Here is a 13,883-nt window from a genome sequence, read left to right on the forward strand (position 1 = left end):
TAATATGTGTAAGAGGTAAAAACATGTCTCTTTAGAGGAAGAGAAGCACATGGGGACTGATAATTATGAAGCACTAAGAGGCAATTTAAGGACTAGAAATTTGGGGTACTATTTTTGACTATTTTCTTTTCCAATAAGGTTATTCCAACAGATATTTCAAATGGACACTTTAGCTTTTATTAATATAAATTTGTAGATTTGAAATTTTTTCAAAATTCTCTTTGTGCTACTGTCTAAACTAAACAATATAGGAAAATTATAATAGAGCAGAAACATCGCATATAAGCCTAATTTTGACATTGGATATAGAAATAGAAGGAAGAGAATTGTGAGTCATTTTATTGGCCTTATATTAATATTCAGTGAGCCAGATGCAATAGAAACATGGAGAAAATATATAAAAAAGAGAATTCCAGCCAGGTGTGGTGGCTCATGCCTGTAATCCCAGCACTTTGGGAGGCCAAGGTGAGTAAATCACTTGAGCTCAGGACTTTGAGACCAGCTTGGCCAACATGGGGAAACCTCATCTCTACTAAAAATACAAAAATTGGCTGGGCATGGTGGTGCATGCCTGTAATCTCAGCTACTTAAATGGCTGAGGCAGAAGAATCACTGGAACCTGGAAGGCAGAGATTGCAGTGAGCCAAGATGGTGCCAGCCTGGGTGACAGAGTAAGTGAGACTCCGTCTCAAAAGAAAAAAAAGTTCCCTTGGGTATATGGAATAGTTAATACCTTTTTGAGTGGGCAAAATATTTTACTTCTAAATTATAAACTAAAATTTTTTAAAATCAGGAGATTTGTGATAGATTAAATACTATAATAAACACTTAAAATTAAATATTAGAGTGCCAGGTAAATTATTTCATTCTTAAATCCTTAATATGTGTTCAAAGCTCTTTAGATTTAATTCAAAATATAATTCAATATGAAAAATTTCAAAAGATGATAAACCACTGCCTTTACATAATATATCAAGTGGGCACATAAATAAATATATATATTTATTTCATATATTTATTTTATATAAATATATAGATATATTATTTTATATATTTATTCTATATAAGTATATATAAATATATATTTATTTTATATATTCGATGTAAATATATATAAATATATGTATTTTATATATTTATTTTATGTATATATATTTATTTTATATAAATATATAAAAATATATTTATATTTATGTGTCCACTTGATATATATGTATATATGTATATATCTATATATTTCCCCCCCAAAACAAAATAAAAAGCCCAGAATAATCAGGAAAAAATAACATGAAACTTAATTGTGATTCTTTAAAGCTATTCTAAGCATACTTGTTTTGCCTCATTAATGCATTTATTATGAAACTTTAAATATATGTTAACAAATTTAGCTTTTCTTTTTTAGAGCATTGACTTATTTTAATTAAAATAGTGCATATTTATTATAAAAAATATGAAGTAAGGCCAGGCACAGTGGCTCATGCCTGTAATTCCAGCACTGTGGGAGGACAAGATGGGAGGATCTCTTGAGCCCAGAAGTTTGAGACCAACCTGGGCAACATAGTGAGACCCCCATCTCTACAAAAAAATGAAAAAAATTAGTCAGGTGCAGTGAACTCAGTTATTTGTGAGGCTGAGTGGGAGGATTGCTTGAACCTGAGAGGTTGAGGCTGCAGTGAGCCATGATTGCACCCTGCACTCCAGCCTAGGCAACAGAGCAAAATTCTGTTTCAAAACAACCCAAAAAAACAAAAAATAAGAACGTAATGCTCGACGATAATGACAATACAATGTCAGCCCAAGCCCTGTGCCCAATTCAAAAATGGTCACAGGGCTTGGCCTGACATTTCTTCAAAGAAGATGTACAAATGGCCAATGAGCACATAAGATGCTCAACATTATTAGTGCTATGGAAATGCAAATCAAAATCACAATGAGACACCAGCTCATCCATATTCGGATAGCTGTTATTTTTTTAAATTGGAAAATTACAAGTGCTGGTTAGGATGTGGAAAAATTGGAATCCTCGTAAAATGATGGGAATGTAAAATGGCTCAGCTGCTGTGGAAAACAGTTTGGCAATTCTTAGTGGTGATGTTCACGCAACATTTTGGATGTACTTAACTCAACTGAACTGTAAACTTAAAAATGGTTAAAATGGTAATTTTTATTTTATTTGTATTTTACTCACTAAGAAACCAACAACAATGAATCAACTAATAAAGCAAATTACAAAGAGATGGACAATTTTTTTAAATCCACCTTTCCTGAAATAACCTGTGTTAACATTGAGTAGTCATGCTAATACCTTGTTCTGTGCTTTAAACTTTTGTTGTGGATATTTCAGAAATTATCTCTATCAAACAGTATAGATAATAATATATAAGCAACACCCATGAACACTGGATTTGTTGAACATGAGCTATGACCCAAGTGTGGGCAGGGGCTCTGTGTGCCTGCAGCGCTTACCAGCCTTCGTGGGATTCACACCTGCAACGGTGATAGAAGATGATCTAACCTAGCCAACTTAGGCACGAAACTAATGACTAAGTAAAACCAGAAACTAGGAAAATCCATAGGTCACATCATTAAATGTGTCTGTGATAAGCATCACCGCTCTCTGCTTAGGTTATTTGCTAGTACTCTTTTATTTTGGTCTAATCCTAAGTGTTACTATAATGGCTTCTCGACCTTTGGCTAAGATCAAGTGTTTAGGTGTTATTGTAAATGTTTTCTTTTTGCTCTATTTCAAATGTTTCTGCATATAATACTATAAAAGAATACTGGTAATATTTGCTTTTGTGTATAACTAGGATATATTTTTAAAGAAAAGATTTAATGATATCTAATTGAGTAGACTGGTGTAAATTAAAGTGTAGAAAGTCAACGGGTACTTTGTTATATTTTGAATTCTGTCATTACATTTCTTGTAATCTTAGACTAAAACAGCATCATTAAAACAGAAATAGCAGTCGACTCTTTTGCAGAATTTACAGTAAGGCAAAGTTAATAGAAAGAGCTGGAATATCCAGTAAAATGACCACAATGCAAATACTATTGGTGTCTCTCTTCCCACCTCCTCAGTTTTCAATATGTATTTTTTAACAATTATCAATGAAAAATGTATAAATTATAACCTTACTTTACCATTCATTAGTTGTGTGACAATTAACCTTTCTCAGCCTCAATTTTCTCATCTGTAAAATAGACATAATAGTAGGGCCTGCTTCATAGTTTTGTTATAAAAGTTAAATGAGTTTTTATGGAAAAAAGTCCTTAGAACAGTGCTTGCATATAATAAGTCCTTGATAAATATGAGCTACTTTTACTATTGTTGCTGTTGTGGTGATGATGATGATATACCTACTATGCATTCAACCCTTGGATGAATATGATGAGCACTAGTAGTACACTTCCTCATCTCCAAGACATTTATTTGGAGATAATACGCAGGTGAGGCCTTGAAGCGAGCCTTGAAATATAAGATTTGCAAAGTCTGGGGGGAAGCCCTATCTTTTTTGTGTTAGGCATCATAGCATACTCTACAACCTTTCTCTGCATGCCTCATAATTAACCCTATCAGGTAATATAGACAGGACTTGCTGAATCAGGGATTCTTACCTAAATCCAAAGCCTTTCTTATTTCCATGCTCTACTGCATGTTTAACAATGATCGCTTGTATTATTCTGTGTCTTGGCCAGTTAGGTACTTCTAAATTTCCATTAGTTTATGGTGAATAGTTTTATTTTTACTGATTTTTTCCCTTTAATTTTACTGTCTGCATATATACTGAATTGTATTTTTGCTTTTTAATTTAAATTTTCCTGATTTCTGTTCTTTCATAATTTAACTCAGGTGTAATGTCTTTGCTGAGAACTCTTCTTCTGGACGTGGTCCCAACAATTCAACAGACTGCTGCTTTGGCTCTTGGGAGACTGGCCAATTATAATGATGACCTAGCAGAAGCTGTTGTGAAGTGCGACATTCTTCCACAGCTTGTTTATTCATTGGCAGAACAGAATGTAAGAATTAAAAAAAACTAGTTATATGTTTTTTTGTTTTAGATTTTTAAAAATGTGACAGTTTGGATACAGTTGCAAGCCTGTAGGCATAAAATTATTAGGGGGTTAACACAATCTTCAATTATCTGAGCTGCATGTAATCATATTTTCAGGGTATTTTGCTTTGGTGCTGATAACCACCATTTATCTATTATTGATAATATAAGGAGAAAATAGATTTTTTTAGGCAGAATTATACATAAAGCAGTATTTCTATATATGAGAGTTTTAAACAAAGCTATCGGATCTGTCTTAGGGAAGTATGTAGACCCTAGGCAAATAGTTGATCTCAGCAGTCCTTATATGCTGGTGAAACCAAGTTAAGGGAAATAGTGAGAGACAGCCTTGAGGCAAGGGGTAGAGAAGCAACCAAAAAGAGGAAGAGAATAAGTATGTGTAATGGAAGGTTTGATAAATCTTTTTTTACCAAGTTATAGGCATGCCAACTCTGTTAAGCACTATCTGAAATTGCCCTGTTTTTTTCCCCCTCCTATCTGGTACCACTTTCTTTTTCTATACAATGCCAGCTATTTGGTTTTCACAGTAGTTAAGGACCACTTGTAGGTAGGTTTTGGACTGTTCATTCTATTCTGTTAGTTTATCATAACCTAGGGATAGAGCTTTCTTGACATATCTTTGGGATTAAATTCCTATTTGTGTAACAAAAAGACAAGCCAATTGAAAAATCGACAAAGGAATTAAATAGACATTTCTCCAAAGAATATATAAAAATGGCCAAGAAGCATGTGAAAAGATGCTCCACAGCATTAGTCATTAAGAAATGCAAATCAAAACCACAATGAGGTATCACTTCATACCTTTTAGGGTGGCCATAATAAAAAATAAAAAGAAAATAACAAGTGTTGGTGAGGGCATGGAGAAATTGGAACTTTCATACATTGCTGGTAGGAATGTAAAATGGGGGAAACCACTGTGAGAACACTTTGGCAGGTCCGCAGTCAGTGAAACATTTGTTACCACGTGACTCAGCAATTCTATTCCTAGCTATATATCCAAAAGAATTGAAAACAGATGCTCCAGCAAAGCCTGCACAGAAATATTCATAGCAGCAGCATCCACAATAGCCAAAAGGTGAAAGCAACCTAATCCAATCAACAGATGAACGGGTAAACAAAATGTTGTGTATCCATACAATGGATTATTAGTCATAAAAGGAATAAAGTACTGATAAATGCTACACCATGGATGACCCATAAAAACATATGCTAAGTGCAAGAAGCCAGACACAAAAGGCCACAGATTGTATGGTTCCATTTATATGAACTATCCAGAATATGTAAATCCATAGAGACAGAAGCAGATTAGTGGTTGCCAGGGGCTGGAAGGAGAAGGGAATGGGAATTGACTGCTTTATTTGTAAGAAGTTTCTTGTTGGGTTGATGATAATAGTCTAGAACTATATAGTGGTGATGGTTGTGCAACATTGTGAATGCACTAAATGCCACTAAATTGTATACTTTAAAATGGTTAAAATGGTAAATTTCATGTTATGTGTATTTTGCCAGAATAAAAATAAATCCTAATGGTGCAGAAATTTTCCTTATATTTATAGATGAGAGAGTCACTTACTAATGCTTGTTATAGCTCTACAAGGAGTCACAGAAATTTTATTTTTCTTGTGGATATTCCTTCTATCATCAAATACTGTTGGGCTTTCTTCCTCTTGGACTCTTAGCTCTTTCTTTTGAGAGCAGAGTCTGTATTCTGGTATCCCACGTAGAAGATTTTCAGTAGAAGTTTTCTAAGTTGAATAAATGTTAATTAGTTGTAGAGAGACAAAAAAGCACTACAGCAGAAAAGTGAGGAGGCAGTGAAAACACGAAGCCTTTGCACAAGCTTCTGTCTCCCTCACCTCCCAGCCTTTAAGTCATTTCTCACAGGAGATTTAATCTCCTCTTTATGAGGTACAAAGTCCTGTGGTTTTGCTGGGTTTTTTTTTTTTGGCATTTCTTTTAATGAGGAATGGAAGAGAAGAGTGTTAGGAATTTGGGGGAAGTGAAAATTAGGAGAAAGAGGGAATGAGATCAGAAAGTGTTAGTTATAGGCACTGGAATTAATAGTGACTATTGATACCCATAAATGTTCTGTAAATTTGACAATTCTGCAGTATAAAAAGTCAAGTTAGCTAAGGTAATGAAAATAAATGTATCACCATTTTTTCCCCACATTTGTAAGAAAATAATCTATGGAAACCTACTTCAAAACTCTATTCTAATATTTAGAGTAAATTAGTAGAAATTTGGTTACTTATATAATTTAAGAAACTAAAGAAAATATGTCAAATCAAAAACATCAGTACTAATATAGCATATTTCTTATATTAGCAACATATACTGATTTTTAAGATATACTATGTTTAAGATGTACTTGATGTGTTTTTTTCTCCTGTAATTTTCATTGTATCAATATTATAGTCTAAGTGAACAGAATGCTTTCAAAACAGGTGCTGTAGTCAACTAGTCACTTTTCATTAGTCACTGTGAAGAAATAGAAACTTAGAATGTAAAATAGGGGTTTAATTGGGTTTTATTAATAACAGAAAGAGTTAGGAGACCATCACTGTGTCATTATGCTAACCATAAAACCATAGTGAGTGTCACAGCCACATATTTCCTATACATTTAATTTTTTTAGCGATATGAAGAGAAACATGTTAGTCTTGTGTTTCAGTTTCATTTACTCATTCCTTAGTGAGAAACAATGCATCTATAGGAAATATAAATATGAAGCAGTATTTAAAATTTACAAAATGGTAAGTAATTTGCTTTTATCTTAAAAAAAAAGCATTTCTAGAGAAAATAACTTATATCCCATTGTTTGGCTGATTTATTTGCCAGGAAAAGTTTTAAAATGTGTCATGAATGTTTTGCCTTTATGTTTATTTGATGATTGTAAGCACATTTTAGAACATGGTTGTTACTTCAGAATAATTTAGGACACCAGAAAGATTAGTTGAGGTCATGAAAGGCCTACCATGCTTAAAGACTGAGGGCAAGTAAAGGAAATGAATTAGTCAGTTGACAGTGAGCTTAGTTGCACATGCTAACAATCTAAGAGTTCCCAAGGGTCAAACAATACATTTTGGTGTAATGCAGATACATAAAATCTCGTTATTTTATGAATTTGTGGAAAGTATGTTTATAATTTTATACAATTTCCAAATGCAGGCTTCAGGGTAAAACATTTGAAATACAATGTAAAACCTACCTTGTTTTCAGTTGAGTTACTGAACAGAAGCAATGAGGGCACATCAAATAATCAAAATTATTTTGCAGGATGTTTTTCATCTTTTATATTCAAAAGCTGTTGAGCTTTATTTATAGTAATGTTATTTTTATGTAGTTTTGGTCTATTTTAGATTTTGGTTTTCTAAGTACTCAATTCATTTTGAGTTTTGTCTGTTTGACCCTTGTAGCGCTTCTACAAGAAAGCAGCTGCCTTTGTGTTACGAGCAGTTGGTAAACATTCTCCCCAGCTAGCTCAGGCAATAGTCGATTGTGGAGCACTGGATACGCTGGTCATATGCTTGGAAGATTTTGACCCTGGAGTCAAGGAGGCTGCAGCCTGGGCACTTAGATATATTGCAAGACATAATGCAGGTAATTTAAAATATGCAGGAGCATATTTTAAAATAGGATTATTACAATTCAGATTTATTAGGTAAATCCAGTTTTGCTTAGTAAAACATAGGTGGGGTTTTAATGATGTTTCTGTATGTGATGAGAAGTACGTTTTGAATGATGGCCAAGTTGTTTGGATCATATATTCACAAAAAAAAACCCTATATATTTCAGTCTTTATCTTAGCAGAAGGGAAATTTGAAGAGGTGGAGAAAAGGAGAGAGGGGTGGCAGCGGGTGGGAGAGTAGGCTTGAGTCTCAAAGGCCTTGGTAAATTGGTTCAGTTATTAGGTTGGTGCATAAGTGGTTTTGCCATTAATGGCAAAAACCCCAATTACTTTTGCATTAACCTAATAAATTATTTTAGTTAGTCACCCTCTTGGGGTCATTTGGTCTTCCTGCCCATTCATGATAGGGAGTTCCAAACCAACCAGGAGACATAGCACGAGTGAGTGATGTTGAGGAGATATGGACATAACTTCCTGGAAAATATTGGTATTCAACTCATACTGGGCAGGAAGAAGAGAAGGAGCATGTTCTCCTATAAACTGACAGCTCAGTGGGGTCATCAAGAGGGGACCTGGGCCTCTTGTGAGAGGATTGTGTTGACTCACCCAATTGGTAAAAAGTACATGAGGAACATAATTTTCCCCGTCACTTTATAGAAGTTGCTTATGAACAAATAACATAAGAAGAAAATACAGTTTTAAAATAAACATATGTAAAAATGATCAACTTTGCTAGTAATCAACAAATTCTATACGAAAACATCAATGAAGATCTTTTTAACCTGTTATTTGAGTGGGGGGTGGTGGCAGAAGAGTAAAGCAGCAATATAGCCAGGTGATTAAGAGCACTGTGGCATTAGACAGGGTCTGAGTTTAGTTTAGATACTACCATTTAGTTGCTGTGTGACCTCGGACATGGCTTATAAACCTTCTGAACCTTAGCTTCCTCATCTGTGGAAGAGGATGACTAATAGTGGTTACATCAGAGATTTGTTGTGAGGATGATGACACAATACATGTAAAGCACTTAGGTCGGTGCTTTGACATATGGCAATACTCAGTAAATGTAACATATTAGTATTAATAATGAATGTCAGAGTGGACGATATGACGTGTGCACATTGGTGGAGGAACTACAAATTGTATAAACTGGTGGAGAGCAGTTTGACAAAACTATTAAAGTCATTGCCCTAAAAAAGCCTGCTTTGAGAATTCATCCTAAGGAAAGAATTCCACAGGATGGAAAAGCTATATTCATGCAAATGTTATTATAGCATGATTTGTAAACCCCTCAAATATTTGACAGAAATTTAGTGGATAAATTATGGAACTTAATGAAATCTGAGGCAACAAATTTAAAAGGTAATTATGAACCTACATGGTAACATGGAAAAGTGATTATAATGTTAAAAAAGATATAAAATTGTATATTACAATTACAATAATGTAAACATAAGTTTTTATGTGGATATAATTACAAAAAAATCATGTTTGTATTCCTAAGGTGGTAAAATTAAGGAATTTTTTCTTCATGTTCCAGATTTTCAGTGTGTGTCTATGTCTAAAATATTAGCTGCTGTGTAGTGAGTAATTAGTATATGCCTGGCTCTGTGCTGTGTGCTTCAGACACATTATCTCATTTTGATTGCAGCTACCCTTGGGTGGGCATTACTCTCCCTGTTAAATGGAGAAATAAAGTGGACTTTAGAAAGGATATCCAAAATTATGTTAATGGTGGAACTGGAATTTGAGTCTAACTGTCTGACTGTAAAGCCTTTGTTAACTACTATACCATACAGCTTCACTAAATACTTCCTGAAACAGTATTGAAGAAAAACTTCAAAACAGAAACAGGAAGAGGCTTTCCTATGGTTATATTTAATTTGGTTCTTAAAATGGTGACATTATTACAGACAAAATAGAAATAAAACAGTATAAAAGGCAAGTTGAAAAAGACAACTCTTGTCATGCTTAGAATTATTCAGAATTAAATTACAAATTATTAAATTATTTTCTTAAATCTAGATTTTGATTTTCCAAAAAGGTTCACCTTAAGACTATTGTTTAGTACATGTTGATTGACAAAACTACAGCAGGGTTTTCAATCAAAAGCTGGTTATCATGGGAAACTACATGAGTATATTTAGTAAGTTTTTTTTTAAGTCAGAGGGACACATTACAGATTATAACATGAGTGTTGGAAAAGAGCTTTGAGGGACAACTGTATAGATACTCTCTCAGGCAGGTGCCCCACAGATAACATTTCCATCCCTTCATTTTGTTGAGTCTGGGGCAAAATGATTATAGTTCATAAACAGGATCTGTCTTAGGGGTTCCATTCCAAATTCTTGGTATAATCTGGCTCCCACATGGAATTTCCACTGTAATTTCAATATTTCACAGTAGTTAGGGGCCTGGGACCCAGAAGCTCCCAGAAGAGATTATTGCATAGATTTCTCAGAAGGAAAGGGAATTGTTACCTAGTAAACCATAAAAGTTATCACTCACATCCATATCAATGAAAATGGAGGATTTACCTCCAAATAACCTGATTTCTTTTTTTTTGAGATGGAGTCTTGCTCTGTCGCCCAGGCTGGAGTGCAGTGGTGCAATCTCAGCTCGCTGCAACCTCCACCTCCCGGGTTCAAGTGATTCTCCTGCTTCAGCTTCCTAAATAGCTGGGATTACAGGCACACCCCACCATGCCCAGCTAATTTTTGTATTTTTAGTAGAGACGGGGTTTCACCATGTTGGTCAGGCTGGTCTCGAACTCCTCACCTTGTAATCCGCCCGCCTCGGCCTCCCAAAGTGCTGGATTACAGGCGTGAGCTACTGCGTCCGGCTTTTGTTTGTTTGTTTTGTTTGTTTTTTGAAAATAACCTGATTTCTTAATGATTTCCTAAAAGCAAAATATATTGAGATTAATGAATATTAGTGAAAAACTGTTTGGTTAGACAGTTTAAGAAATATAAATCTTAAATTGAGATGCAAAAGAAATAATATATACTTTTAAGGGCAATAGAAGGAAAAAGTTCTGTGTACAGGAAACAAAATTAAAATAAGCATAGAGAGAAGCCGATGGGCATTACCTGACTTTTCCTTGTTTGAAAAATACAACTTCTAAAACTTATTTCTATGTAAAGATTTTAAAGCATTTTACAGACAGCCAAAGGGAACTTGGGGCTGACAACCAGAAATGGTGGGGTTTTTTTTTTCCAACTGTGTACAAATCATATCATTAAGTTTTATGATTGAATCACCAGTTATTGAATACACATGGTAATGTTTACCTCTGACTTTGCAGATAAATAAGTGATTTCTTTCTAGTTTTTCCTGCTCCTTAGTGACAGCTGAGGTAGAATTCTTCTCAGATAGGCTTTCGTTTTTCTTACTTTTTGTAACCCTTTCCCACTCTGCAGAATTCTTCTTTTGTTTCCTCATTTACACAACTTTTTTTTAGTCTGTTGTTATAATTGTTCTCTTTTATTATTAGCTATTGTTGTTAATCTCTTACCATGCCCGCTTTATAAATTAAACTTTAAAAAGTTTGTATAAATTTAAGGGGCACAAGTGCAGTTTTGTACATGGATATATAGTTATTCTATTAACATATTTATTTATTCAACCAATATGAAATCTGTCACTGTTTCCAAGGAATAGTCTTGCTTTTGGAAAGGGTGCCTGGAGAGCCTGTGCCAGCTGGAAGCATGATGGGCAAGGTAGGAGGGATGGTGGGATTCCCCAGCCGCCGGGCTTCCTCAGCTGATGGCTCAGCCACTGGGAGGTGGGTGAGGGAGGCCGCTGCAGGAGGCTCCAGGCCCTCCTCCCCTGGTCCCCAGCAGCCTCCCTCAGGCCTTGTGACTGAAGTCCTGTGGCTCTGTGGAGGGTGCTTCCAATGAATGGCCGTCTGTGGAGACAGTGGCCGCAATGAGAGCACTTGGGACTGAGGTGGGAGCAGCAGCCTGGCTGCAAGTGTGCGGAAGTGTTTTGTGTGAATAGTCTTCCACATTTGGGCTCAAAAATGAGTTTTAAGTGTTTATTTTGGGAGCTTTAGCTAAAAAAAAAAAAAAAAGTGTTTCTTTGTGGTAAACTTTGGCTTATCTCAAGCCTGGCAAAGAGGAATACATTTGATTAGACATTCTACAACTTTTAAATTATTGATATAGTTGTCACATAGATGAGCAGACTGAAGTAGAGAGGTTAAAGGATTTATTCTGGTTACACAGCAATTTACGGTGGAACTGCTTGGCAACTGCTCAACACTTCCAGAGATTCTTGCATTTTACACTGTGAGGGAGGAATGTGTACAAGATCTCATCATTCTTTTTTAGCTCCTTGTAATATCTGAAAGTCTTGCCAGATACCTCTGTTTCTAATCTCCGTTGGCCGCTTTCCACCCGGTTGACTCTTCTTTCTCTTGTGGACCTGATTTCTGTCCAGCTCTGTGGCAGTTGGGAGATGAGCTTGCTGCGCCAGAGATGAGCAGCGCTTGCAGGGTCTGGCTGATGTGGACGTGACGGAAACATTGAGTCCATTGTATCCTCTTTACTAGATAGATAATGTAAGCAAGGTCTCAAGATGAGCTGGCAGCCCGATTGTTTTCTATCTTGTATTGAATGATGAAATGATAAAATGAAAAGTTTAAAATTCAGAATTCTTTTGAATATTCTTCTTATGCCACCCATGTACAAATATCAATAGCTTAAATAGTGCAGAACAGGCTTAGGAAGCAGTAATTAATTAAAAAATCTCACCTACTTATTTATGGTGAGAACACAAAATATAGTCTTAGCAATTTTCAAAGTAATTAACTTTTTAAAAACCCAAATATTAATGACAAATATCAGAGATAAGAGCTAAGGACTTTGAATGGTTTTTCTTAGAGGGGGAATGGATGGGGAGAAGGGACTACAACCTGGTAATTAAAAATTATTTTAAAGGCCCTGCAGACAGCCGTCTTTACTGACGCCTATAGATTTCGGTTGGTTCCAGTAACATCTTTTGCTTCTTTATCTTTCTTTTCATACCTTTTTTTCTATTGTAGGGGGTTGAGGAACACAAACATAGAGGCAAATGAGGTATGTGGGATAACATATATTATATATTTCATTTATTTTGACCCTAGCACTTATTTTCACAAATATCTTTGTATTTTTTAGGTGCTAGTGAAAAAAATATAAAGTGAAAATAAATATCCCTCTATGTTTTTTGGGCATAGAGGCCAAATGTGCTAAACAAAACAACATTTTAATTAATTATAACCTTGTTTTACTTGGTAGTTACCTAATTGGTTGGTTATTTTTAGGGTTCACTTTGTGTGCTGGTAAAAAATGTTGTGATTCTTTTGTGTTTTTATTTCTTGTAACATTTTTAGTTGGGAACTCTTGGCTAATAAAATCTTCTAATTTTTTTTAACTTAGAATCTAGAGCAACAGAATGTAATATATAAGCTCAGATTCCTAAGTTACTCATGCCTCTGACTTTTTATATGAGGCTAGCAATTCATTTATTTAACAATGTCATCATCATGGTAATCATCAAAATGTACTTGAGGCATTTATGTCTGTGTTCCCATATCTTTCCCACTATATGAAGTACAATAAATTGACTAAGACCTCGTGTGTGGGACTTTATAATCTAAGGCAGAAAAATTAATACAGATGAGCATGCAGGTCATCTAGACAGCTAGGCAAACACTGACACAATGTACAATACTGTATTAAAAGCATATATAATGCATTGAGTGACTATACATTAGAGTAAATGAAAGATGAATTATAACTGGGCAGAGTGGCACGTGCCTGTAATCCTAGTACTTTGGGAGGCTGAGGTGGGAGGATCACTTGAGCCCAGGAATTCAAGACTAGTCTGTGAAACATAGTGAAACCCTGTATGTAAAAAAAAAAAAAAAAAAAAAAAATTCACCAGATGTTGTGGTGTGCACCTGTGGTCTCAACTATTTGGGAGGCTGAAGTGGGAGGATCACTTGAGCCCAGGAGGTTGAGGCTGCAGTGAGCTATGATTGTGCCACTGAACTCCAGCCTGGGCAACAGAGTGAGACCCTGTCTCAAAAAAAAAAAAGATGAATTTTGAGTTACCTTTTTTGTACAGTGGCAAAAAAGAGGAATCTTTACTTTCTCAAGAACTTTGTTACATCCAGATAACAACTGAACAGT

The 13,883-nt window shown here is 35.1% G+C and overlaps 1 protein-coding gene across 6 annotated transcripts in view; it reads left to right on the forward strand.

The window, feature by feature from the left end:
- The window catches only part of SPAG6 (sperm associated antigen 6), a 72,115-nt gene that overhangs the window by 15,504 nt on the left and 42,728 nt on the right, over positions 1 to 13,883 (forward strand). For all 6 annotated transcript variants that reach the window (NM_001253855.2, NM_001253854.2, NM_012443.4 and 3 more), the window contains 2 exons: positions 3,854 to 4,020; positions 7,496 to 7,679. In NM_001253855.2, the coding sequence (NP_001240784.1) occupies positions 3,854 to 4,020; positions 7,496 to 7,679 (351 nt within the window). The remainder of the gene's footprint in view (positions 1 to 3,853; positions 4,021 to 7,495; positions 7,680 to 13,883) is intronic.

This window comes from Homo sapiens, chromosome 10 (assembly GCF_000001405.40).
Source record: "Homo sapiens chromosome 10, GRCh38.p14 Primary Assembly".
Taxonomy (NCBI): Eukaryota; Metazoa; Chordata; class Mammalia; order Primates; family Hominidae; genus Homo; species Homo sapiens.